Raw genomic sequence first — 27,856 nt, forward strand, 5'->3', positions numbered from 1 at the left:
TAGCAGATTCACAGTCTCATTGGCTTGATGAGTAAAGCTGCAGACTTTCACGGGGAGTGTTGCAGTTCATAAGCGCAGTATAGACCCAAACGGCTAGCAACAACAGGATTTAGTTGAAAGAACAAACCACCGGCAGCCCCCTCACCACAGAAACAGACTCCAACAAGTTACGTGCTAGCTCGCTCAGCCTGCTTTTATTCCCTTCTCTGGCCCTACTCACATCCTGCTGATTGGTCCATTTTACAGAGAGCTGATTGGTCCGTTTTGACAGGGTGCTAATTGGTGCATGTACAAACCTTGAGCTAGACACAGAGTGCTGATTGGTGCATTTACAATCCTTTAGCTAGACACAAAAGTTCTCCAAGTCCCCACTAGATTAGCTAGACACAGAGCACTGATTGGTGTGTTTACAAACTTTGAGCTAGACACAAGAGTGCTGATTGATGTGCATTTACAAACCTTTAGCTAGACATAAAAGTTCTCCAAGTCCCCACCCGACTCAGTAGCCCAGGTGGCTTCCCCTAGTGGATCCTGCGCCCTGGCCGGAATTGCCCACCAGTCCCGTGCGGCGCGCCGCCACTGCTCAGCCCTTGGGCGGTGGATGGGACCGGGCTCCCTGGAGCAGGGAGCGGCGCCCATCGGGGAGGCTCGGGCCGCCCAGGAGCCCACGGAGAGTAGGGGGCGGGGGCTCGGGCATGGCAAGCTGCAGGTCCCGAGCCCTGCCCTGCGGGCAGGCAGCTGAGGCCCGGCGAGAATTCGAGCGCAGCGTGGGCGGGCCGGCAGTGCTAGGAGACCCAGCGCACCCTCCGCAGCTGTGGGCCCAGGTGCTAAGCTCCTCACTGCCCAGGGCTGGCGGTGCCAGTCGGCTGCTCCGAGTGAGAAATGACAGCGTGCTGGCAGTCCTCACAGCCCTCGCTCGCTCTCGGCGCCTCCTCTGCCTGGGCTCCCACTTTGGCGGCACTTGAGGAGCTCTTCAGCCCACCGCTGCACTGTGGGAGCTCCTTTCTGGGCTGGCCAAGGCTGGAGCCGGCTCCCTCAGCTTGCCGGGTGGTGTGGAGGGAGAGCGGGAATCGGGGCTGCGCATGGCGCTTGCGGGCCAGCTGGAGTTCCGGGTGGGCGTGGGCTGGGCGGGCCCCGCACTCCAAGCAGACAGGCCGGGCAATGAGGGGCTTAGCACCCAGGCCAGCGGCTGCGGAGGGTGTACTGGGTCCCCCAGCAGTGCCAGCCCACCGGCGCTGCACTCGATTTCTCGCCGGGCATTAGCTGCCTTCCTGCGGGCAGAGCTCGGGACCTGCAGCCCGCCATGCCTGAGCCTCCCACAGCCTCCGTGGGCTCCTGTGCGGCCCGAGTCTCCCCGATGAGCGCCGCCTCCTGCTCCAGGGCGCCCAGTCCCATCGACCACCCAAAAGCTGAGGAGTGCGGGTGCACGGCGGCGGACTGGCAGGCAGCTCCATCTGCAGCCCCGGTGCGGGATCCGCTGGGTGAAGCCAGCTGGGCTTCTGAGTCTGGTGGGGACGTGGAGAACCTTTACGTCTAGCTCAGGGATTGTAAATACACCAATCAGCACCCTGTGTCTAGCTCGGGGTTTGTGAGTGCACCAATCGACACTCTGTATCTAGCTACTCTGGTGGGGCCTTGCAGAACCTTTGTGTAGATATTCTGTATCTAACTAATCTGGTGGGGACGTGGGGAACCTTTGTGTCTAGCTCAGGGATTGTAAACGCACCAATCAGCGCCCTGTCAAAACAGACCACTGGGCTCTACCAATCAGCAGGATGTGAGTGGGGCCGGATAAGAGAATAAAAGCAGGCTGCCCGAGCCAACAGTGGTAACCCGCTGGGGTACCCTTCCACACTGGGGAAAATTTGGTCTTTTGCTCTTTGCCGTAAATATTGTTACTGCTCACTCTTTGGGTCCGCACTGCTTTTACGAGCTGTAACACTGTAACACTCACCATGAAGGTCTGCAGCTTCACTTGTGAAGCCAGCGAGACCATGAGCCCACCGGGAGGAATGAACAACTCCAGACTCGCTACCTTAAGAGCTGTAACACTCACTGAAGGTCTGTAGCTTCACTCCTGAGCCAGTGAGACCACGAACCCAGAAGGAAAAAACTCCGAACACCGGAAGGAACAAACTCCAGGCGTGCCACCTTAAGAGCTGTAACACTCACTGCGAGGGTCCGTGGCTTCATTCTTGAAGTCAGTGAGACGAAAAACCCACCAATTCAGGCCATACGAGTGCGGAGCCCACCCAGCTCGCGCCCACCCAGAACTCGCGCTGGCCCTCAAGGGCTGCGCGCAGCCTCGGTTCCCGCCCGCGCCTCCCTCTCTCTCCACACTGCCCCGCAAGCAGAGGGAGCCAGCTCTGGTCTCTGCCAGCACACAGAGGGGCTCCCACAGTGCAGCGGCGGGCCGAAGGGCTCCCGAAGCGTGGCTAGAGTGGACGCCAAGGCCGAGGAGGCACTGAGAGCGAGTGAGGGCTGCTAGCACGTTGTCACCTGTCGATAGGTGCACCTAAATACGGGTTCATTATTTGACCAAAGGCGGGATTCTACGTCTAGACATGCATACCCACCTACATTCTCTTGTACACAGTACCATGGCCGTTTCTAATATGAAATGGAAACCTACATATCAAAACAATAGCTATAAATACGTGGTGGGTGTGGTCTGTTCCTTAACCCTACTAAGGCCTTCATCTGAGGAAGCAGATCTATATTAAAAGAGAGCAGTATTTCCCAAGTAGCCCTTGAGTTCACACAAAAATTTTGTTTTCTAATTTGGCCTTTGATTTGATTTTGTTTTCTAATTTGGCCTGAGATAATCAGCCAATATGGTCACCATATTGAACAGCACAGATCTAAAAGGATTTCCCGAGTATGGAAAATCTCTGTGGGTGTCTAGGATGGTTAATTTTGTGCATCAGCTTGACTGGGCCATGGTGCCCAGTTATTTGGACAAACATTATTCTGGATGTTTCTGTGAAAGTGTTTTTGGATGAGATTTGCATTAAATTGGGAAACGTTGAGTAAAGCAGACTGCCATCCATAATATGGATGGGCCTCATCCAATCAGTTGACGAGCTGAATACAACAAAAGGCTGACCCTGCCCTGTGCAAGGGGTAATTCTGCCAGTAGACAGCCTTCAGACTTTACATGCAATATTGGCTCTTCTTTGTTCTACAACAGCTTTTGGACTCGAAGTACAGCCTTTCCTGAGTCTCCAGCGCACTGGCCTCCCCCCATCAGATTTTGGACTCTCCAAGCTTCCACAAGCACAGGAGCCAATTCCTTAAAATAAATCTGTTTCTATATCCATATATACACATCCTATTCATTCTTTATCTCTGGGCAACCATGACTAGCTAATACAGTCTCTAAATCAAACTGTGGTACCTTCTTTACTAAGGAATTCCTTCTAATAGCTCTATACCCATTGGCTTTCACAACATGAATCAGGGGTTGAAATTTCTGCATATTTTTCTCAGATCTGCTCCAGGCGACTTCCTTTCCCATGGCTAGTTAAATGGGGACTGGAGAAGGCGGAGAAATACTCACATTTTTAAAAGATTACAGCTAATTATGTAGACACACTGGCCCTTAGACCTATCTTACCTGGCATTTTATAATTTCCCTTTCACACAATATAATTTAATTCATATTTGGGGGACAGGAATATTGATCTACACTGTAACTTGTCTAGTTTCTGGAACGATAAACTAAAACTTCAAGCATATAAAATATGTTTATACTCTAAATTTTTAGTTTTTTCCCTAGTATTTGTATGTCTAGATATAATTACAAAGTCTATGTGATGTTTTTCATGTGACGATCCAATACAGTGCTTCCCTGAGCCCTTAAAAAATAAAAAATAAAAATACAACTTAAAGAAACAAAAACTCCCTACCGTAGCCGCTACAAGGGAGGCTAAGGCGGGAGGATTGCTTGAGGACAGGAGTTCGAGGCCAGCCTGGGCAACATAGTAAGACTTCCGTCACAAACACAAAAACTCCCAACCCGGGTTCGAGACCAGCCTGACCAACATGGAGAAACCCCGTCTCTACAAAAAATACAAAAATTAGTCAGGCTTGGTGGCACATCCTTGTAATCCCAGCTACTCGGGAGGGTGAGGCGGAGACTCGCTTGAATCCGGGAGGCGGAGGTGGCGGTGAGCCGAGATCGCGCCATTGCACTCCAGCCTGGGCAACAAGAGCGAACTCCGTCTCAAGAAAAAAAAAAAAATCACCTCCCAACCGTATGGACCACGCTGACATCCTGCCATCAAGAAGCAAAGCTTTCCAGCGTCCCCCAAGCGCTAGGGCCGCCTTCTGACTCTTCCGCCCCGCCTCCGCCCCCTGCACTCTCCCAACTGGCGGGAGGAGGGCGCCCTCCCAGCCAATCAACGTCCCACAGGGCCCGCCTCCCGCGCGTCTTTCAAAGGTCTTCTAGGAACCAGTCAGCGATTAGAGGCCGAGTCTTCGGCCACCCAAAGGCGGAGTAAGAAACCAGAAGCGGATCTGATTGGTTGCTGGAAGACGCCGCGCCCACCTCACAGAAGGACGAACCAGTGAGCTAAGCTGCGGGGCGCGGGCTCGGCCGGGGCACCGGTGAGTCGCCGGCGCTGCAGAGGGAGGCGGCACTGGTCTCGACGTGGGGCGGCCAGCGATGAAGCCGGTGAGTCGGACGTGCTGGGGTTTGGAGGAGCGAGGCGGCAGGGACGCAAGCGGTCCCGGGGACCCGATCCTGGGCCGGAGGGCAGCCCTAGCCTGGTAGCAGTGCGACTGGCGCCGTAACCGTTCTGCGGGTCGGGGAGGTGACTCGCACGGGCCCAGCACGGGCACGAGAGACGAAGGAGCAGGGTCGGTGGCCGACGAAGGAAAGACGGACATTCGCTGTGCACCTGCTGTGGGCTGTCACCTGTCCCCTGCGGGGTCTCATAAGCCTCCCAGCCGCCCAGCCAAAGAGGGCCGAGCCTCGTTGTACCGAGGAAACCGAGCCGAAGAGCTTGAGTGTCAGCGATGAGTGGGCGCGATACCCCAGCCCCGAAGGGTGGCCGGGCGCTACCTGCGCCCACAGGGCCTGGGGAAACCTTGAGTACGAATGCCACGCCGCGGCTTGTGGGCGACACCACCGCTGTCACCATGCCCCAGGGCCACCTGGCAATGCTGCTCTTTTCCCGTGACGTTCAGAATCACAGGGCCTGGGGAAGCAGAAACGTCCAGCTCTGTTAGGATTAATAAACCTGGTGAATGGGCCACACAAATTTGAAATATGAATCATCAAAGTTGCTTTAAAGAAAAAACAGATGCAGGCAAGGAGCTGAAGATCCCCCACCTAACCCATATTTCCTACTGCCCGGCTTGACAACCTACTGGAAGCCTTTCCTTTGGGTGCAGTTGATTATAATACTTCAGATAGAGCCAAAGCAACAGAAATCCATAGCCTAGGGCCGGGTGGTGTCTCGCGCCTGTAATCCCAACACTTTGGGAGGCCAAGGCGGGCGGATCACTTGAGGCCAGGAGTTGGAGACAAGCCTAGCCAACACGGTGAAACCCCGTCTCTACTAAAAATACAAACATTAGCTGAGCGTGGTAGTGCACGCCTGTAGTCCCAGCTACTCGGGAGGCTGAGCCACGCAAATAGCTTGAACCCAAGAGGCAGAGGTTGCAGTGAGCGGATATCACGCCACTGCCCTCCAGCCTGGGCGACAGAGCAAAACCCTATCTCAAGATAAAAGAAAGAAAGAAAAAAAAGTCCGTAGCCTAAATTAGCCGTCCTGTGATCTTCTAGTACCAAGACCGTTGTAGAATATAGCTTCAGAGCTAGAAAGAGCATTAGGTGCTTACAATTGCTAATCCCTATGTTGCCATGTGGAGGGACATCAGCTGTCCTTCACTCCTGGCCTCTTTCTCCACCTGTCCCCATTGAGTTATCTGATCCCCGAGTTTGGAAGGAACTGAACACCAGTATCTCAACTTTTTCTTTCCTTCTTTCTTGGGATCTACCTGCCTGCCTGCAGAAGGTGCTTTCTGGTCCACTCTCTGGCACACAGGAGCCCCAGACTGTCCATGGCCACCTGTGACTGGGTGGATACATTTGTCTAATTCTGGGGTGAACAAGGGGCAAGCCCACGTGGCAACAGCTTTAAGCTGCATACTCCATTTGATATACAATAATAAAACTCCATTTCTTTATCTTTCAATTGGTTTCAACTAGGGAGTGAGAAAAGGGTATGGGTTTTGTTCTGTTTTGTTTTTGTTTTTCTTTTTCTTTTGATTCCTTAAAATTTCAACAAGGAGTGTAGAAGTCTTCCATGTCAAAATGCTGCAGGATTAAGTTCCAACTGCTTAGATCAGCATACGAAGTCTATCTCAATCTCTCTAGTCTAGTGATTCATAAAGTTGGAGGCAGGTTATTTCACCTACACCACCCCCACCAAACTACTAGGCCATGTGGGGATGTTTTTTGAGAAAAGGGGTGGGCAAAACTACTTCATCTCCTCTACTCCATCTCTATTTTGATATCACAGTTCCTCAATACACAAGCCCTTGGCTTAACTTCTTTCCTTTCTTTTTTCTTCTTCCTTTTTTTTTTTTTTTTTTGGCAGAGTCATGCCCTGTCAGCCAGGCTGGAGTGCAGTGGTGTGTTCCTGGCTCACTGCAACCTCTGCCTCCTGGGTTCCAGGGATTCTCCTGCCTCAGCCTCCCGAGTAGCTGGGATTACAGGCATGTGCCACCATGCCTGGTTAATTTTTGTATTTTTGGTAGAGCCAGGTTTTGCCATGTTAGCCAGGCTGGTCTCAAACTCCTGACCTCAGGTGACCTGCCCAACTTCGCCTCCCAGAGTGCTGAGATTTACAGGCATAAGCCACCGCACCCTCCCTTTCCTATCTTCTTTAAAACCTGCTCTTCCTTCAAAACCCAGCTAAAGCGTTTCCTCTGTGAAGCCTTCTCCAGCTACCTACGTGGTCACTCTCTTCTCTGTTCCACAGTGTATAGTTCTGCTTCCATTTCAGCACTTATATAATACCTTTCTTCTGTAATCTATGCACACATCTGTCTCTCCAGCCATACTGAAGGCAGGCTATTTATCTTATAGATCTTTTGCATCTCCAGTGCTTGGCAAATGAAGGTGGCCAAGAAATATTTGTGAATGAATAAATCTCCTCACTTTATAGTTGAGGAAAATCGAGATCCAGAACCAACTGAAGTGGCTTGTCAGAGAGTATACAGTAAGTGGCAGAACCAAGATCAGAAGCCAGATTTCTTGGTTCCCAATCCAACTCTCTTTCCACTATGCAGTGCTATAATTATTAATAGGAAGGTAAATAGCAGTCATTTATTATTAATATTGCTGATCTCGTTAATATTCTGGATTGATGGCTGAATACATTGCAAATATGAATTCAGTGTGTGTTTAGACAAGGATTAGCTATCCTAAAACTACAAAAAAATTCTTTACAGTTATTTAACATAACATTTCTTTTGAAGCCCAGTTCAATACAAACAAGTGAGTTTGACTCATCAGATGAAGAGCCTATTGAAGATGAACAGACTCCAATTCATATATCATGGTATGTTAGCATTTCTGATCAATGATGAGCTAAAATCACAATCTACATCATAAATGTAAATTTAGTTACATCATAATCTTAGTAGAATGTAGTTCACATATTGAAAATGTTAAGGGATTATCCCCCTCTGATTATATAATTCTAATCATTAAAGGATCTTCTAACTCCATGATTCATTTACTATCTATAATACAGAATAAGACCCTTTTTTTTTTTTGGCCCTTCTTTATACATTCTAACTCCATGATTCATTTACTCTTTATAAGACCCTTTTTTTTTTTTTGGCCCTTCTACTAACTTAGTAGAAGGAAGTAAGTAGGAAATAGAGGTAGGATTGAAATAATCTCCCATTTAGTATCAAAATCTACTTATTCTTTTATGACAAAAGAATAATATACCAAATATGAGATGAGATATTTAATCATTTCTCATTAAATCAAATCCTAGGTAATACTTAGAAGTAATGTCACAGTAATGCATCTATCAACAGACTCTGTTTAAGATAAAAGCCACATCAATGCAATAACAAAAAGTTTCTACATAAAATCAGCCTTTTAATCTTGGCAAGTGACTTATGGTTATACCAGATTCTTTACAATGAGCAATCAAATGCTTTCTCTCATCACTGCAAATATAATAGTCTCTCTTCTTAAGAAAGCACTATCCCTACTGTCAGAAGAGAAAGAGTGTCCTAAAGGTCTTTTGTCCTGCCATCAAATAGCATTACTTTCCATTTCCACTTAAAACTCCCATTTAAACACAAAAATTCATCTAATTTTCAAAGTCAGGTGGTATTTAGATGATGCCTCCTGTTTTCCTTTAAATCATCTTCTGACATGCAGACAAGGTGAGCCTCTGTCCCTGAGTACTGCAAACTGGGAATATGATTTCTTCACATTATTTCTTTTTAACCAAAAACCTGTGGTTTTCATCATATGAAATTATATCTGTTAAGGAAGTTCTATTTAAAAATCTTAAAATAGTAATGTAGAATAAATGCTGGGGAGAAAATTGTCCAATAGTCATTTTCCAATTCATTTTCCTAAATCACTAATACAAATTATCTCAGGTAATATACCACAGGATAACATAAGTACACCGTATACTACCGGTTGGCAATCTAGGCATTATTATCTTTAAGGTAAATTTAAATTAACTTGGTTTTTTGTTTTCTTGTTTTTTGTAGAGACAGGATTTCACCTTGTTGTCCAGGCTGGTCTTGAACTCCTGGACTCAAACAGCCTGCCTGCCTTGGCCTCTCTAAGTGCTGGGATCATAGGCATGAGCCACTGCACCCAGCCTAACTTGTCATTTTTAAGACTTAAATAATAACAAAGCAAATAAGTCCCTGTTTTAAAACTTTGTCTTTCTATGTTTTTTTTTGTGACCAACATATTGATACTTAACTGTGAATTCTTACTTTGTGACTACTGTAAAACTTTAACACAACTTTATTTGGTGGCAAGCACCCATATTGATTAAACTGAATTTCCATTTATAACTTTTTAAAAACTTAACTAAACATGAAAAATTTTTCTTCTTTTCAGGCTATCTTTGTCACGAGTGAATTGTTCTCAGTTTCTCGGTTTATGTGCTCTTCCAGGTGGGTAACACAATAATGGGCTTCCTATCAATATGTATATATTTTTTAATATATTTTTATTGCAGTAGCTTTTGGGGGGACAGGTGGTGTTTGGTTACATAAATAAGTTCTTTAGTGGCAATTTCTGAAATTTTGGTGCACCCATCACCAGAGCAGTATACAATGTACCCAATGTGAAGTCTTTTATCCTTCATCCCCCTTCCACCTGTTCCCCACCAGCCCCCGAAGTCCAATGTATCATTCTTATGCCTTTGTGTCCTCAAAGTTTACCTCCTGTTTATGAGTGAGAACATATGATGTTTGGTTTTCCATTCCTGAGTTACTTCACTTAGAATAATAGTCTCCAGTGACCGGGTGCAGTCACTCACACCCGTAATCCCAGCACTTTGGGAGGCCGAGGCCGGCAGATCACGAAGTCAGAAGATAGAGACTATCCTGGACAACATGGTGAAACCCCGTCTCTACTAAAAATACAAAAATTAGCTGGGCATGGTGGCACGTGCCTATAGTCCCAGCTACTTGGGAGGCTGAGGTAGGAGAATTGCTTTGACAGGAGGCAGGGGTTGCAGTGAGCCGAGATCGCACCACTGCACTCCAGCCTGGCAACAGAGCGAGACTCTGTCTCAAAAAAAAAAAAAAAAGAATAATAGTCTCCAGTTCCACCCGGGTTGCTGTGAATGCCATTTTGTTCCTTTTCATGGCTGAGTAGTATTCCATGGCATGTGTGTGCGTGTGTGTGTGTGTGTGTGTGTGTGTATGTATATCTCACATTTTCTTTTTTTATTATACTTTACAACCCCACTTTTTGATGGGGATGTTTGTTTTTTTCTTGTAAATTTGTTTAAGTTCCTTGTAGATTCTGGATATTAGACCTTTGTCAGATGCATAGACGGCAAAAATTTTCTCCCATTCTGTAGGTTGCCTATTCACTCTGATGATAGTTTCTTTTGCTGTGCAGAAGCTCTTTAGTTTAATTAAATCCCATTTGTCAATTTTGGCTTTTGTTGCAATCGCCTTTGGTGTTTTAGTCATGAAGTCTTTGCCCATGCCTATGTCCTGAATGGTATTGCCTAGGTTTTCTTCTACAGTTTTTAGAGTTTTAGGTCTTAGGTTTAAGTCTTTAATCCATCCTAAGTTAATTTGTGTGTAAGGTGTAAGGAAGGGGTCCACTTTCAGTTTTCTACATATGGCTAGCCAGTTTTCCCAACACCATTTATTAAATAGGGAATCCTTTCCTAATTGCTTGTTTTTGTCAGTTTTGTCAAAGATCAGATGGTTATAGATGTATGGTGTTATTTCTGAGGCCTCTGTTCTGTTCCATTGGTCTATATATCTGTTTTGGCATGTGTACCATGCTGTTTTTGTTACTATAGCCTTGTAGTATAGTTTGAAGTCAGGTAGCGTGATGCCTCCAGCGTTGTTCTTTTTACTTAGGATTGTCTTGGCTATATGGGCTCTTTTTTTGTTCCATATGAAATTTAAAGTAGTTTTTTCTAATTCTGTGAAGAAAGTCAATGGTAGCTTGATGGGGATAGCATTGAATCTATAAATTACTTTGGGCAGTATGGCCATTTTCATGATATTGATTCTTCCTATCCATGAGCATGGAATGTTTTTCCATTTGTTTGTGTCCTCTCTTATTTCCTTGAGCAGTGGTTTGTAGTTCTCCTTAAAGAAATCCTTCACATACCTTGTAAGTTTTACTCCTAGGTATTTTATTCTCTTTGTAGCAATTGTGAATGGGAGTTCACTCATGATTTGGCTCTCCGTTTGTCTGTTATTGGTGTATAGGAATGCTTGTGATTTTTGCACATTGATTTTGTATCCTGAGACTTTGCTGAAGTTGCTTATCAGCTTTGGGCTGAGACAATGAGGTTTCTAAATATACAATCATGTCATCTGTAAAAAGAGACAATTTGACTTCCTCTCTTCCTATTTGAATACTCTTTATTTCTTTCTCTTGCCTGATTCCCCTAGCCAGAACTTCCAATACTCTGTTAAATAGGAGTGGTGAGAGAGGGCATTCTTGTCTTATGACGGTTTTCAAAGGGAATGCTTCCAGCTTTTGCCCATTCAGTATGATATTGGCTGTGGGTTTGTCATAAATAGCTCTTATTATTTTCAGATACGTTCCATCAATACCTAGTTTATTGAGTGTTTTTAGCATGAAGGGGTGTTGAATTTTATCAAAGGCCTTTTCCAGATCTGAGATAATCATGTGGTTTTTGTCACTGATTCTGTTTATGTGATGGATTATATTTAATGATTTGCATATGTTGAACCAACCTTGCGTCCCAGGGATGAAGCTGACTTGATCGTGGTGGATAAGCTTTTTAATGTGCTGCTGGATTCAGTTTGCCAGTATTTTACTGAGGATTTTCGCATCGATGTTCATCAAGGATATTGACCTGAAATTTTCCTTTTTGTTATGTCTCTGCCAGGTTTTGGTATCAGGATGATGCTGGCCTCATAAAATGAGTTAGGGAGGATTCCCTCTTTTTCTATTGTTTGGAATAGTTTCAGAAGGAATGGTACCAGCTCCTCTTTGCACCTCTGGTAGAATTCAGCTGTGAATCCATCTAGTCCTGGGCTTTTTTTGGTTGGTAGGCTATTAATTACTGCCTCAGTTTCAGAACTTGTTATTGGTCTATTCACGGATTCGACTTCTTCCTGGGAGGGAAGAAGTCCCTTTAGTCTTGGGAGGGTGTATGTGTCCAGGAATTTATCCATTTCTTCTAGATTTCTAGTTTATTTTTGTAGAGGTGTTTATAGTATTCTCTGATGGTAGTTTGTATTTCTGTGGGATCAGTGGTGATATCCCCTTTATCATTTTTTATTGTGTCTATTTGATTCTTCTCTCTTTTCTTCTTTATTAGTCTGGCTAGTGGTCTATCTATTTTGTTAATCATTTCAAAAAAACCAGCTCCTAGATTCATTGATTTTTTGAATGGCTTTTTATGTCTCTATCTCCTTCAGTTCTGCTCTGATCTTAGTTAGTTCTTTTTTTTTTCTTGAGACAGAGTCTCACTCTGTCGCCCAGGCTACAGTGCAATGGCACAATCTCGGCTCACTGCAAGCTCTGCCTCCCGGGTTCATGCCATTCTCCTGCGTCAGCCTCCCTAGTAGCTGGGACTACAGGCACCCACCACCACACCCAGCTAATTTTTTTGTATTTTTAGTAGAGACGGGGGTTTCACCGTGTTAGCCAGGATGGTCTCGATCTCCTGACCTCATGATCCATCCACCCGCCTTGGCCTCCCAAGGTGCTGGGATTATAGGCCTGAGCCACCGCACCCGGCTTGATCTTAGTTATTTCTTGTCTTCTGCTAGCTTTTGAATTTGTTTGCTCTTGCTTCTCTAGTTCTTTCAATTGTGATGTTAGGGTGTCAATTTTAGATCTTTCCCGCTTTCTCATGTGGGCATTTAGTGCTATAAATTTCCCTCTAAACACTGCAGATTCTGGTACATTGTGTCTCTGTTCTCATTGGTTTCAAATAACTTCTTTTTTTCTGCCTTAATTTACCCAGTAGTCAGGGGCAGGTTGTTCAGTTTCCATGTAGTTGTGCAGTTTTGAGTGAGTTTTTTAATCCTGAATTCTAATTTGATTGCACTGTGGTCTGAGGGACTGTTTGTTATGATTTCTGTTCTTTTGCATTTGCTGAGTAGTATTTTGCTTCCAATTATGTGGTCAATTTTAGAATAAGTGCGATGTGGTGCTGAGAAGAATGTATATTCTGATGATTTGGGGTGGAGAGTTCTGTAGATGTCAATTAGGTCTGCTTGGTCCAGAGCTGAGTTCAAGTTCTGGATATCCTTGTTAATTTTCTGTCTCGCTGATCTGTCTAATATTGACAGTGGGGTGTTAAAGTCTCCCACTATTATTGTGTGGGAGTCTAAGTCTCTTTGTAGGTCTCTAAGAACTTGCTTTATGAACCTGGGTGCTTTTATGTTGGGTGCATATGTATTTAGGATAGTTAGCTCTTCTTTTGCATTGATCCCTTTACCATTATGTAATCCCCTTCTTTTTCTTTTTTTATCTTTGTTGGTTTAAAGTCTGTTTTATCAGAAACTAGGACTGCAACCCTTGCTTTTTTTTGCATTCCATTTGTTTGGTAAATATTTCTCCATCCCTTTATTTTGAGCCTATGTGTGTCTCTGCACGTGAGATGGGTTTCCTGAATACAGCACACCAATGGGTCTTGACTCTATCCAATTTGCCAGTCTGTGTCTTTTAATTGGGGCATTTAGCCCATTTACATTTAAGGTCAATATTGTTATGTGTGAATTTTATCCTGTCATTATGATGCTAGCTGGTTATTTTGCCCATTAGTTGATGCAGTTTCTTCATAGCGTTGATGGTCTTTGCATTTTTGTATGTTTTTGCAGTGGCTCATACCAGTTGTTCCTTTCCAGGTTTAGTGCTTCCTTCAGGAGCTCTTGTAAGGCAGGCCTGGTGGGGACAAAATCCCTCAGCATGTGCTTGTCTGTAAAGGATTTTATTTCTCCTTCACTTAGGAAGCTTAGTTTGGCTGGATATGAAATTCTGGGTTGAAAATTATTTTCTTTAAGAATGTTGAATATTGGCCCCCACTCTCTTCTGGCTTGTAGGGTTTCTGCAGAGAGATATGCTGTTAATCTGATGGGCTTCCTTTTGTGGGTAACCCAGCCTTTCTCTCTGGCTGCTCTTTACATTTTTTTCCTTCATTTCAATCTTGGTGAATCTGATGATTATGTGTGTTGGGGTTGCTCTTCTCGTGGAGTATCTTTGTGGTGTTCTCTATATTTCCTGAATTTGAATGTTGGCCTGTCTTTCTAGGTTGGATAAGTTCTCCTGGATAATATCCTGAAGTGTGTTTTCCAACTTGGTTCCATTCTCCCCGTCACTTTCAGGTACACCAGTCAAACATAGGTTTGGTTGATTCACATTGTCCCATATTTTTGGAGGCCTTGTTCATTCCTTTTAATTCTTTTTTCTCTAATTTTGTCTTCACACTTTATTTCATTAAGTTGGTCTCCAATCTCTGATATCCTTTCTTCTGCTTGATCGATTCAGCTATTGATACTTGTGTATGCATCACGAAGTTCTCCTGCTGTGTTTTTCAGCTCCATCAGGTCATTTATGTTCTTCTCTAAACTGGTTATTATAGTTAGCAGTTCCTCTAACCTTTTATCAAGTTTCTTAGTTTCCTTGCATTGGGTTAGAACATGCTCCTTTAACTTGGAGGAGTTTGTTATTACCCACCTTCTGAAGCCTACTTCTGTCAGTTCATCAAACTCATTCTCTGTCCAGTTTTGTTCCCTTGCTGGCGAGGAGTTGTGATCCTTTGGAGGAGAAGAGGTATTCTGGTTTTTGGAATTTTCAGCCTTTTTGCTCTGGTTTTTCCTCATCTTCGCGGATTTATCTACGTTTGGTCTTTGATGTTGGTGACTTTTGAATGGGGGTTTCTGCGTGGGCGTCCTTTCCGTTGATGTTGATGCTATTGCTTTCTGTTTGTTAGTTTTCCTTGTAACAGTCAGGCCCCTCTTCTGCAGGTCTGCTGGAGTTTGCTCGAGGTCCACTCCAGACCCTGTTTTCCTGGGTATCACCAGTGGAGGCTGCAGAACAGCAAAGATTGCTGCCTGCTCCTTCCTCTGGAAGTTTCGTCCCAGAGGGGCACCTGCCGGATGCCAGCTGGAGTTCTCCTGTACGAAGTGTCTGTCGACCCCTGCTGGGAGGTGTCTCCCCGTTAGGAGGCGCGGGGTTCAGGGACCCACTTGAGGAGGCAGTCTGTCCCTTAGCAAAGCTCGAGCACTGTGCTGGGAGATCTGTTGCTCTCTTCGGAGCCAGCAGGCAGAAATGTTTAAGTCTGCTGAAGCTGTGCCCACAGCCATCCCTTCCGCCAGGTGCTCTCTCCTAGGGAGAAGGGAGTTTATCTATAAGCCCCTGACTGGAACTGCTGCCTTTCTTTCAGAGATGCCCTGCCCAGAGTGGAGGAATCTAGAGAGGCAGTCTGGCTACCATGGCTTTTCCACACTGTGGTGGGTTCCGCACCCAGTTCAAACTTCCGACTGGCTTTGTTTACACTGTGAGGGGAAAACTGCCCACTCAAGCCTCAATAATGGTGGATGCCCCTCCCCCCACCAAGCTGGAACATCCCAGGTTGACTTCAGACTGCTGTGCTGGCAGTGAGAATTTCAAGCCAGTGGATCTTAGCTTGTTGGGCTCCGTTGGGGGTGGGATCCACAGAGCAAGACCACTCAGCTCCCTGGCTTCAGCCCTCTTTCCAGGGGAGTGAATGGTTCTGTCTTGCTGGCATTCCAAGTACCACTCAGTTGGAAATGCAGAAATCACCCGTCTTCTTTCTGCATTGGTCTTGCTGGGAGCTGCAGACCAGAGCTGTTCCTATTCAGCCATCTTGCCCGGGAATCCCACATTTTCTTTATCTACTCATTAATTGATGGGCATTTGGGCTGGTTTTACATTTTTGCAGTTGGAAATTATGTTGCTATAAACATGTGTGTGCAAGTATCTTTTTCATATAATGACTTCTTTTCCTCTGGGTATATACCTAGTTGTAGGATTGCTGGTCAAATGGTAGTTCTACTTTTAGTTCTTTAAGGCATCTCCACACTGTTTTCCATAGTGGTTGTACTAGTTTACATTTCCACCAGCAGTGTAAAAGTGTTCCCTTTTCACCACATCCGTGCCAACAATATATTTAGAACAAGTATTTGGTCAACTAACACATCATTCTCTATACTGGGCAATAAGTAAATTTCACAGACCATCAGCACTGGGGAACACACTTTGCGAAGCCCTCATGGTGGACTATAGTTAAAGGAACATAGATCTACCTTTCAGCCCTTCCAGATCTGCAGTCACAGCCCTACACTTGTACTTTGCCAATCTTAATAAAGCTTAAAGCCTGGAGTACAAATGAGGCTGAGGACTACAACCAGGTACTTGTTACAGAAGAAACACAGAATACAGAATCCTTGCTTAGGATGAATCCCTGTAATTATATTCCTAGAAATATAAGAAATTGAAATTCATATTCAAAATATAATTGAAACATATAAATGATTACGTGAAATGACTTTATAAAGTAGCTATATAAGTGTTTAAACATACCTGTTACATATGACGAAAAACTGACTTTTTTACTTGCTTTATTATTACTTATAGGTTGTAAATTTAAAGATGTTAGAAGAAATGTCCAAAAAGATACAGGTAGGTATAATATCACGCAACCACACTCATGGGTTTTTTAAATGAATAGCATTGAAAAACTCTCTGTCAAAAAGAACAAATCAGTTTTTTTTTAATATAAAAATAAGTTTTCAATATTGTGTGAAGTTCCAAACTATAGACTTATTCTGATATGTAAAGAGGTATTTGTGAAGACCATCATTTACCTAACCATGGAGTTGCTTTTCACTGATTGTTGTAGTTATATTATACATATAAACTACATTTGAGGTTAGAATGTAGAAGTTGGCATGAAAAAAAGTATGTAAATAGGAAACTGACATATTGCTCCCCCCAGGTCTTTACTGTTCCTTGCAGACTTGACTGTGGTAGTAGAAATTAAACATGAGCTGGGAACTCCAAGTTAGCAGTGAAATTGTGAATCCTGGATGGAAAATTTTGAGAGCCAGCATCTAGATGGAAAAGACAGAATGGGAACTGGTTGTTGCCTGCTCAAGGATGTTCATACCATTATAGCCACAAGTCTAATAATCCTCATAATCTGCCCCAATTTGGAATTTACATATTGCATGATACTAACAAATGTGGATTTTCAAAAGATTTTATTCTGATTGGCCTGGAATGTCTCAAACCTACTAGTCCTACCGATATCCTTATAGTATGGCAAATTAAAATGTATATATTGCTTGATTCTAACTAGTATAGATTTTCTGAATCTTAAAAACTTTTCGTGGTTATTCTAGAACATCAGTTTGCTAATGTACTTTTAAAAATTTATTCCTGGTCAGGTGCAGTGGTTCACACCTGTAATCCCAGCATTTTGGTAGGCCGAGGCGGGTTGATCGCTTGAGCTCAGGAGTTCGAGACCAGCCTGGGCAACAAGGCAAAACCCTGTCTCTGCAAAAAATACAAAAATTAACTGGGCATGATGGCGCGTGCTTGTAGTCCCAGCAACTTGGGAGGCTGAGATGGGAGGATCACTTGAGCCCAGGAGGTCAAAGCTGCAGTGAGCTGAGATGGTGCTGAGATCACAAGGTCTTGCTCTGTCATCCAGGCTGGAGTGCAATGAGCTGAGATTGCATTACTGCACTCCAACCTGGTGGCAGAGCAAGACCCTGCCTCAAAAAAAAAAAAAAAGTATTCCTTACCTACCAAAAAAAGACTTAAAGACAGTAATAGATAGTTGACCCTTATAGTATTTATAAAACTTTTCTGCTTTAGACACACCCACCATGCTAGGAAATTTCTATTTGGAGAACATTTAGGTCATAAGCAAAATATATGTAATTTAAATCATTGGTTCAAAGTCAGTCTTGTACATTTTGGAATGTCATATTCATTTAGCATTTTCTATAAAAACAGTTTCCAATTTTTTTCAAAATACTTTTTTTTCTGCAATGAAATCTTAAATGGAATCCAGTACATAAAACAGGTCAATATGTTTGATTGGAGACCTAGAATCTCCCTGCAGCAGTTCCTGAGATACTTTCTTAGCCCTTTCTCAGAAAGTTGGAAAATCACTGGATAATAAAAATTACCAAATGTGTACAAAAGGCAAATAGATGTATAGTACTGTACATCTCAGGGATTAGTTCATGAGAAGGTACTTTGTACTTAAATAGCTACATGTCCTTGGATTTAAGGGACAGGGAGAGGGCTGGAGTTGGGAGCACTTAGATCATCCAGTTATTTATTTTAAACCAAATGCTCAATAGTTAATATTGCCATAAAGAAGTCCTAGTGTATAGAATGCCTATAGTATTCATATCATTATAATGAGAATAGCTAGGTCACAGAAGTTTAATACAGGTAATGTTTTATTTACTGGCGACCTAGTCTATAAAATTAAATACACAAGGATGTGTTACAGTGCAGATATGAGGGAGAATACTAGCACCTCTGACACCATGGCCATGCTGGAGATTTTATATACAATACTCAGAGTCAAGCAAACAGCTAAGTGATGAAGTAGCAGACATGGTTGATTTTGTGAGAAAAAGAAAAAAAGTGCTATCATCCTTAATTGAACATAGATCTATCATACCTTAATTGATAGCACTTTTTTTCTTTTTCTCACAAAATCAACCATATTTGCTACTCAATTTTAAGTGTTTTAAGAGTTATTTTATGCCAGGCATGGTGGCTCATGCCTGTAATCCCAGCACTTTGGGAGGCGGAGGCGGGCAGATCAACTGAGGTCGGGAGTTCAAGACCAGCCTGACAAACATGGTGAAACCCCGTCTCTACTAAAAATACAAAATTAGCTGGGCGTGGTGACACATGCTTGTAATCCCAGCTACTTGAGAGGCTGAGGCAGGAGAATCACTTGAACCTGGGAGGCAGAGGTTGCAGTGAGCTGAGATCGTGCCATTGCACTCCGGCCTGGTGACAGAGCAAGACTCCATCTCAAAAAAAAAAAAAAAAAAAAAGAGGGGGGGTTATTTTAAAGCAGTATTCATTGCAAAAAAAAATTTTTTGCAAGAACAGCAATTGACTTATTTTGAAATTCAGTAAAAGGCATTTTGACTTGTAATATGAGGTTTAATTCTAGACCCCTTTTGATTCAGACATATCAATAGGCACTTCAGATTTATAGATTGTCATTTGGTATTAGTTTGGCTTAAGAAATTTAATTTCATATTCTCCCTCTTGATGGTATTTAAATGTGTGATGTTTTCTATGTGTGTGTGTCTGTGTATCCTGGTCTATTGGCAGAAGAACTAAAGAGCTGTGGTATACAAGACATATTTGTTTTCTGCACCAGAGGGGAACTGTCAAAATATAGAGTCCCAAACCTTCTGGATCTCTACCAGCAATGTGGAATTATCACCCATCATCATCCAATCGCAGATGGAGGGACTCCTGACATAGCCAGCTGCTGTGAAATAATGGAAGAGCTTACAACCTGCCTTAAAAATTACCGAAAAACCTTAATACAGTACGTTCTTTTCTCCATACACTATGTGAGAAATGTCTCAGTCAAAATGATTTCTGGAATTATGGTAGCCCTATTCAGTTATCACCTACTTCATAGTTTGTTGTAAGGATTAAAAGGTAATAATGCACTAGGAAAGCACTGGCACAATGTCTGGTACAGGGTAAGTAGTCAAATACGTGCTGTTATTACTTTTCAAGAGTAGGGACAATAAATGAGTAGATTTGGAAATTGTTAGAACAAGGTTACAAGCTTTTCTTTTTTATTTCTTTCCTTTAGTCTTAGACCTTTAGTTGCAATTTTGGGACCCTCCTTTCCCCTCATCACCATCACTGCCTCACTTATTAGCTTTTCAATTGCTTAGTTGCTTTCAATAGCAAGAAAATCAATTTTTTGGCCAGGTGCAGTGGCTCGCGCCTGTAATCCCAGCATTTTGGGAGACTGTGGTGGGTGGCTCACTTGAGCTCAGGAGTTCAAGACCAGCCTGGGCAACATGGCAAAACCCCATCTCCGCAAAAAGTATACAAAAGAACATGCCAGGCATGGTGGTACGTGCCTGTAGTCCCAGCTACTCAGGAGGATGAGGTGGGGGAACTGCTTGAGCCTGGGAGACAGAGGTTGCAGTGAGCCAAGGTGACAGTACTGCACTCCAGCCTGGGTGACAGGGAGACCCCATCTAGAAAAAAAAAAATAAAGAAAGTCGATTTTTTCAAAATTAGCTACCAAAAAAGTTACCTCTAAGCAATAAGCAATCCTAAAAATATGACTTGAAAATTACATTTGATGATATGACTGCTAACAGATTGAAAGAGGGCCTCTCATTGTGTGTCAGTGGCTATAAAAACACAAGCTGCTGGTGTGAAAGTTTAAAACAAAAGAAGATGGGTTAAGGAAAGGGGACAAAATGAGGAGGAAAGAAAAGCAGCTTGGAGGAAGGCCAGAGAGAGTGGCAATGGGCAGTAGATAGTAGCATGGCAAAGATTCAAAGGGGCGATGTGGATAAAAAACAAGAGATGCTCTGCCGGAAGTGAAACACACAAAGCAACAGAGAGCCAGCCATGGGGAGGAAACTGGACTTTGCCGTGCATAATGTATATTTCATATTCTAATAACCTGCTTAATCCTTTCTCGAATAAGGTAGGGTATTAAATAGTTTACGACCTCAAAAGCCCCAAGTTCCTTAAGGACATTGCTTTGAGCTAGAAGTATAGAAATTATATCAAATAGCCATGGGGTTCTCAGGGCACCTAGTCATAGGACAAGCCCAGCCAACTTCTCCTCTTAAACCTATAGCCCAGGGGCCTCATGCCAACAGTGTCAGTTCTGAAGGCAAACCAACTAGTACGAGGGTCTTTGGGGACACACACCTGTTTGTGGCCAAACTGAACTCTGACATACAGAGAAATATAGTTTGCAGAATATGCAGTAGAGAACTAGAAGCCATTCTACATCCTATTGTTTCCCATCTTCCTCTATGGAAAAAGCATAGTCACTTAACCAGTACTAATTATAAAAGCTAAATTTCAAATAGATCCAGTTGATGATGTGAAAGTTTCTGATACATATAGGTAAAATAGTATTAGATAGTTAAATGTAGCTGGGGAAAAATATTTTCCAACATAGGGCCCTATTTTTCAAACCATTTTGAGATCTTTTTTTTTTTTTTCAAATAAATTTTTGAAAGCAGCCTCTACTGAAAAGTTTCCAGAAATCAAACTAGCTCTGTTTAGTGAAGTGAAGCTTAACAAATTCTACTGTAGCTGGTTCTGGCAACCCAAATGCTCTGATGTTTGTGCAGAGTACAAACAGGATAGACAGTAGATGGGTGACTTTGCATATGCTGAATGTTTCAGTCTCCCATAAAATAAAGCATCTGACAACTGGCATTTTTCATTGTCCTAGAGCTTTCGAAGGTGTCCTACGGTGACTAGTTTATTTTCTATCCATTCTGCCATCTTTGAGGACCCACACTTCTAGACAGCTATAGAGCTTATCCTTCAGCAACAGGATCTGGTAAACCTTTTTCACTGACCTGTTGTCTACCAGTGCTGTCTCACTGGTTCTGCCTGGACATTTGCAGCCCTTTATAAAATTAGTGAACAACACTGCTTGCCTACTGTATTTTGTAGTTTCTTGGGGCTATTGTAACAAAGTACCACAAACCAGGTAGCTGAAAACAACAGAAATTTCTTCTTTCCCATTTCTAGAGGATGTAAGTCCAAAATTAAGATGAGAGCAGAGCCATGCCCTCTGAGACTGAGGAGAGTCCTTCCATGCCTCTTCCTAGCTTCTGGTGGTGGCCATCAATCCATGGCAGGCCTTGGCTTGCAGCTGAATCCCTCCAGTCTGCCTCTGTCATCACACACTTCCTCGGATGTCTGTGTCTTTGCATGGTGTTGTCCTTGTGTAAGGACACTAGTCATCTAGGATGAGGGCCTGCTCTAATTCGTCTTAACTTGAATATACCTGCAAAGACTCAAATTCTGAATAAGGTCCCACTCACAGGTACAGGATAAGGACTTCAGCATGTCTTTTGGGGGGACATAATTCAACCAGTAACACCTACCGTGTACCACACGCCAAGACTACCAAACGAGGCACAGTCCCCACCTTCGAGGAACCTATAACTAACACTACCATTTAACTGCAATAAGACAGGAGAGGCAGCACACAGGAAAATGATCCTTTCTGTAGGAGCACAAAGGCATTTTAGGAAATGAAATTTGAGGTTTTAAAAGATAAGTAGGAATTCATCAAATAGAAGAAAAAAGATGAAAATAGCAAAAGGTATAAAATAGTATTAATCTTGCAAAAAGACACTGAAGTGTTCTATCTTGATCTTTTTTTTTTTTTTTAATAAGGCAGTTGTCTCTTCTCTGTCACCCAGGCTGGAGTGCAGTGGCACTGTCATAGCTCACTGTAGCCTTGAACTGCCGGGCTCAAGCGATCCTCCCACCTCAGGCTCCCGAGTAGCTAGGACTTCAGGTGTGCGCCACCGTGCCAGGCTTTTTTTTTTTTTTTTTTTTGGAGAGACAGGGTCTCACTTTATTGCCAAAGCTGGTCTTAAACTACTGGACTCAAGCAGTCCTCCCACCTTGGCCTCCCAAAGTGCTGGGATTATAGGCCTGAGCCATCATGCCCAGCCTCTCCCTTTATATGGTAGATCCAGATCTCTGAAACAGTTCTATGTCTGGAACACTTTGTGGAAAGCAAGTTCACGAGTAAGACTAGGGGTCAATACCTATTCAGTCCTCTATTTCACATCCTAAAGCAAAATATATATCTACAGCTTTACCTACAATACAATACAATACAATACAGTAATTGATGTCCATAACGATAAGTCATCCACACTAAATTAGGCTCAGTATACCCTCTAAGTACATTAGGAAGCATGTAATACATTTTTTAGGATCTTTGAAAATGACTTAAATGAATAGTTTTGCTACTGAGGATTAATCTCCATTTTTCTGGAAAATCCAGTTATACAAAACTGCTAATTTCTTTACAGTGCTAGATAACAGCAGCTAATGTTCATTTACTTCTTACTCTGCACAAAGCTGTGTTCTAAGTCCTTGGCAAATGCTCACTCATTTGTGAGCCTCATTTAATCCTCACTCTGATGTACATACTATTGCTATCACCATTTTAAAGGTGAAAAGGCTGAGTCCCAGAGAGATTAAATAACTTGCTTAGCTTTACACATCTAATAAGTGGCAGAGCCAGGACTGAAGCCCAGGCAGTGGTGCTCCAGAGCCCATGCTCCAGACTTCGGTGATACCCTATCTCTGGACTCCTTTAGATACATGAATGGTTATTATCTACATGGCATTTGTGCAGTAACCACTCAGATTTTGTTTAGACAGAGGAATAATCAAAGTGACAGTTGGTAAAAGTCTGATTTCTATCTATTGGTAACATGCTCCATTTCTCAGATGTGGATCTTGGAACCTAAAGAGGTCAATAAGAAGACTCTGCCTATCTTGATGCTTAGAGGTGTTCAGAATTCCTCCCAACAAAGAAATAAGCACACCTTGCTCTCAGTTGATTAAATCAAAAATATTTATTAATCTTCGTGTGCAAGGCACTGTGCTAGGCATTAGAGTTGTAAATAGAAGGCAGAAAGAGCAAGTCTTTAGTTGTAACTAGGGATGGAATGAAATGTACAAACTTCAAAACTGTATTTCCCTTTCAGCTGCTATGGAGGACTTGGGAGATCTTGTCTTGGTAAGAAATATATTTCTATTATTTTTTTAACCGCCAAATAGACAAACTTCTGTTTCCAGACCATATGTTCATTTTGTATTAAAATGGAACCAAGCAAAATATAAGTTTGCTAAGACTCAAAGGATTACTTAAGGCCCTAAACATGGTGTTCCCTGGAAAGCTTGGGTGGGAGTGGGAGGTATTTTCAGCATTGTTCTGGAGGATTCTGGCAAAACATCATTTACAAGTCTTAACACCTGCATTCTTATTTTTTAACATTTTTTGATGTTCTTCCTGTGGAGGTGTTATAATAGAGTAACTTCCAAATAGTTTCCATGGGTAACTATTTATGAATACCAAAGTTAATTACTATATGTTAATTTAAAAAATGTTTTAATGTACTAAGAAAAACAAAAAAGAGTTCGTGAAATGCCACACTGGAGTAGTAGTTATTTTTTTAGTGTTGGATGATATCAAAATTGAAAGCTTTTGTGTTTCAAAGAATACTATCAAAATGACAAGACTACCCATAGAATGGGAAAAAATATTTGCAATCTATATATTTGATAAGGGATTTGTATCCAGAATATAAAAAGAACTCTTACAACTCAGTAATAAAGATAGGCCGGGCGTCGTGGCTCATGCCTGTAATCTCAGCACTTTGGGAGGCCAAGGCAGAAAGATCACCTGAGTTTAGGAGTTTGAGAACAGCATGAGCAACATGGTGAAACCCCATCTCTACAAGAAATACAAAAATTAGCCAGGCATAGTGGTGCATGCCTGTAGTCCCAGCTCCTTGTGGGACTGAGGCTGGAGGACTGCCTGGGCCCAGGAGGTCAAGGCACCAGTGAACCGAGTTTACACCACTGCACTCCAGCCTAGATGACAAAGTGAGATCGTCTCTCTCAAAAGAAAAAATAATAATAATAAACAAACAACATAACTGAAAAATGGGCAAAGTATCCGAATAAACCTTTCTACATGCAAGATACACATATAGTCAGTAAGCACATGAGAAGATGCTCAACATCATCAGTCATCAGGAAATGCAAATCAGAACCACAGTGGATACCACTTGACACCAATTAGGAAGGGTATTATAAAAACATGAAAAATAACAAGTATTGGCAAGGATGTAGAGAAATTCGAACCCTCATACACTGTTGGTGGGAATGTAAAATGGTGCAGCGGCTTTGGAAAATAGTCTAGCAGTAGTTCTTCAAACAAGTAAACATTAACATATGACCCAGCAATTTCACTCCAAAGTATATACCCAAAGACTTGTATACAAATGTTTATAGCAGCATTAATCATAATAGCCAAAAAATGGAAACAGCCTAAATGTCCATCAGTTGACGAACAGATAAACACAATGTGGCATATCTATACAATGGAATATTATTTGATCATAAAAAGGAATTAAATACAGACATATGCTACAATATGTATGAACCCTGAACACATTATGCTAAGAGAAGTCAGACACACACAAAAAAATATTGTATGTTTCCGTTTATGTGATTGCTCAGAATAGGCAGATCTACAGAGACAAAGTACACTAGTGGTTGCCTATGGCAGGGGTTGATGGGGAATAGAGGATGACAGCAAAAGGGTACACTTCTTTCTGAGGTGATGAAGTGCTTTAAAATTGACTGTGGTGATGGTTGCACATATCTGTAAATATACTAAATCACTGAATGGATGAACACTTTAAATGGATGAAAGAATGAAGCCAGTGTTAAACTCTAATTCAACCATACGGTCATTTAAGATCATAATTTAACTGTCAAAAACACACACTAAAAGTCTCAGTCTTTTAATTCATTTGGAACAATTACACCAGTCTTCTGTATCAACAGAAGTCTTATTAAATATAAAATGCTGTACCCTGTCACTAGTTATTTAATAACATATTATTTTTCTGTCATGTTCCATTAGTAGCTGCTTGTCTCCTACTATACCTGTCTGACACAATATCACCAGAGCAAGCCATAGACAGCCTGCGAGACCTAAGAGGATCCGGGGCAATACAGACCATCAAGGTGAGGAGGTGGGCGGTGCTTGCTTGGTTGTGGTTGGGGTCGTTGTTACAAATACAGATTCATGTGTAACCAAAAGGTTACATATGAAAATCCAAAAGGGCAGTGAAATGAAAATCCAAAGCACTCTGTTATTCAAATACCACTTGCTTATGCTTTTAGTTTTTAAAAATTTACAAGTAAATATAATCCAGGTAGTCTAAAAAAGCACACAGGATTTCAAACAAGATAATGAAAATTTGAACTTCCTGGTTTACTTTTCCAGGATCTACCTACTTCTCAGTTTTTGCCCCAGTCCGTTTTGGGAATGGATCCTCTCACCTAGGACAATGAGATGGTTATTGTTAATACAAACTTGGTACGTTCTTGGGTAGATTCTTGGCCAAAAAAAATCTATGGAAGATCTTGTTATATCACCAAAACATTTAATAAAGACAGATGAATGACTATAATACAAAAAATGGAAAGCAGTGCTAATTATCCTTTGCAGTAGATAACTGGGGACATCTTCCACATGTACATTCCCCTAACACTTCAAAACACTGCACTAGCAATGCCAAGGATATTGCATTAATCATGTTACTGAAAAGATTCTGCAGATGTCACTTCATTTTGTAGATCTGTAAAGCTAATGTGCCTTCTTTTCAGAAGCGTGCCCTCTCAGCATTAGAATCCGCTCATCAGAGGAGTGGGCACCAAAGAATCCTGGCTGTTAGGCAGCTCCCTAGACTTGAGAGCCCATCTTCCCAGGGTTGGAGGTCTAATCCAGTGTCATTAACAGTGAATTATCATAATTACTGATAAATTCACCAAGCAACCTGATTCTTAGGGCTTAAATAAGGTCATTAACGGGACAATCCATACAAGATCCACTCCACTGTACAGGTCTGAAACAGACAACTCTCTTTATGTTAAAAATCAAACGATGCGGCCAGGCGCGGTGGCTCATGCCTATATCCTAGCACTTTGGGAGGCTGAGCTGGGTGGATCACTTAAGGCCAGGAGTTGGAGACCAGCCTGGCCAACATAACGAAACCTTGTCCCTACTAAAAATACAAAAATTAGCCAGGGTGGTTATGTGTGCCTGTAGTCCCAGCTACTTGGGAGCCTGAGGCACAAAAATCACTTGAACCTGGGAGGCAGAGGTTGCAGTGAACCGAGATCACACCACTGCACTCCAGCCTGGGCGACAAAGTGAGACCCTGTCTCAAAAAAAAAAAAAAATCAAATGATGCTTCAAATCCAAAAAGTTCACCTCTCTTCTCTTGAAAACAAACTACATGGCCATGGCCAGATGTATATATGAATATCCATATGTTTTACATCTTTAACATTGCAGATAATTAAGTCCATATTACTACAGACTCAGTTTATCACCTCAGCATTCTGTGGCAAACAGGCTTGCTGGTGTTAGCAATGCAGTTTCCACATCTCAATAAGGATATGAAATGAGATGATTGGCAGAGTAAGAATATCTTTTGGGAGGCTATTAAAACTCCAAATAAATTATTTAAAGCTTTTATTTTGCTTATCTGCTGAGATTAGCAATACAGTTTGTTTTTAAAAAATATTGTCTATGAAAATTATCCCTAGTGCATTATGTCATCACAAAAAAGCAGAAGACTAGGGCTTCTATAAATTGAGAAATGGATTTTGTTAAATATACCAGTTACTTGCTACAGAAAGTGCTCTGTCCTTCTTACCAGGGGGGAAAAATGTTAGCAAAAATAATGCCATTATGTACTGTTTTAATCTTATTTGGTCCTGTAAGTAAAGAGAGAAAGAATTTTAGACTTAAAACATATCCATCTACATTTCATTTCACCTTCTGATTTTTAGAGACTTGTAGAACAATAGTTTTTCACACTATATGGCTTTACTAAAAGATAAAACTTCCCCATGATGCAAATGCTTCCTTACCCAAAAAGATGTAGAATTGTGCTTAGCAAGTATTTTTTTTTATTCCTGATACCTGCTAATATTGTGCCCACACTGATAACTAGTTTTCTACAGTGTATTCCAATGTATCTTTACTTTTTTCAGCAATACAATTATCTTCATGAGTTTCGGGACAAATTAGCTGCACATCTATCATCAAGAGATTCACAATCAAGATCTGTATCAAGATAAAGGAATTCAAATAGCATATATATGACCATGTCTGAAATGTCAGTTCTCTAGCATAATTTGTATTGAAATGAAACCACCAGTGTTATCAACTTGAATGTAAATGTACATGTGCAGATATTCCTAAAGTTTTATTGACAAAACTCGTTGTGTCTCTTTCATTTCTTATAGGAATAGGAAAAT

At 42.3% G+C, this 27,856-nt stretch overlaps 1 protein-coding gene across 3 annotated transcripts, besides 1 other annotated feature; it reads left to right on the plus strand.

Moving 5' to 3' along the window:
* Positions 1,227-1,726: an enhancer, noted in NCBI's record as "H3K4me1 hESC enhancer chr14:54860347-54860846 (GRCh37/hg19 assembly coordinates)". NCBI's record gives its function as "activates a minimal SCP1, AML or CMV promoter by ChIP-STARR-seq in naive H9 embryonic stem cells {active_cell/tissue: H9 hESC(naive)}" and the evidence as "EXISTENCE:reporter gene assay evidence [ECO:0000049][PMID:30033119]".
* On the plus strand, positions 4,605-27,816 carry CDKN3 (cyclin dependent kinase inhibitor 3). 3 transcript variants are annotated; one of them, NM_001330173.2, is made up of 9 exons: positions 4,605-4,675; positions 7,492-7,574; positions 9,122-9,177; positions 16,343-16,387; positions 19,082-19,304; positions 23,497-23,528; positions 25,446-25,549; positions 25,812-25,904; positions 27,590-27,816. In NM_001330173.2, exons 1-8 carry the CDS (start codon positions 4,667-4,669, stop codon positions 25,869-25,871), a joined length of 612 nt encoding a protein of 203 aa, NP_001317102.1. In that variant the 5' UTR covers positions 4,605-4,666; the 3' UTR covers positions 25,872-25,904; positions 27,590-27,816. The 3 variants fall into 3 exon arrangements, with proteins under 3 accessions (NP_001317102.1, NP_005183.2, NP_001124323.1); NM_005192.4 differs by lacking the exon at positions 25,812-25,904; NM_001130851.2 differs by lacking the exons at positions 9,122-9,177; positions 25,812-25,904 and having other exon boundaries at positions 7,492-7,510.

The sequence above is a fragment of the Homo sapiens genome, chromosome 14 (assembly GCF_000001405.40).
Source record: "Homo sapiens chromosome 14, GRCh38.p14 Primary Assembly".
In the NCBI taxonomy this organism is placed as follows: Eukaryota; Metazoa; Chordata; class Mammalia; order Primates; family Hominidae; genus Homo; species Homo sapiens.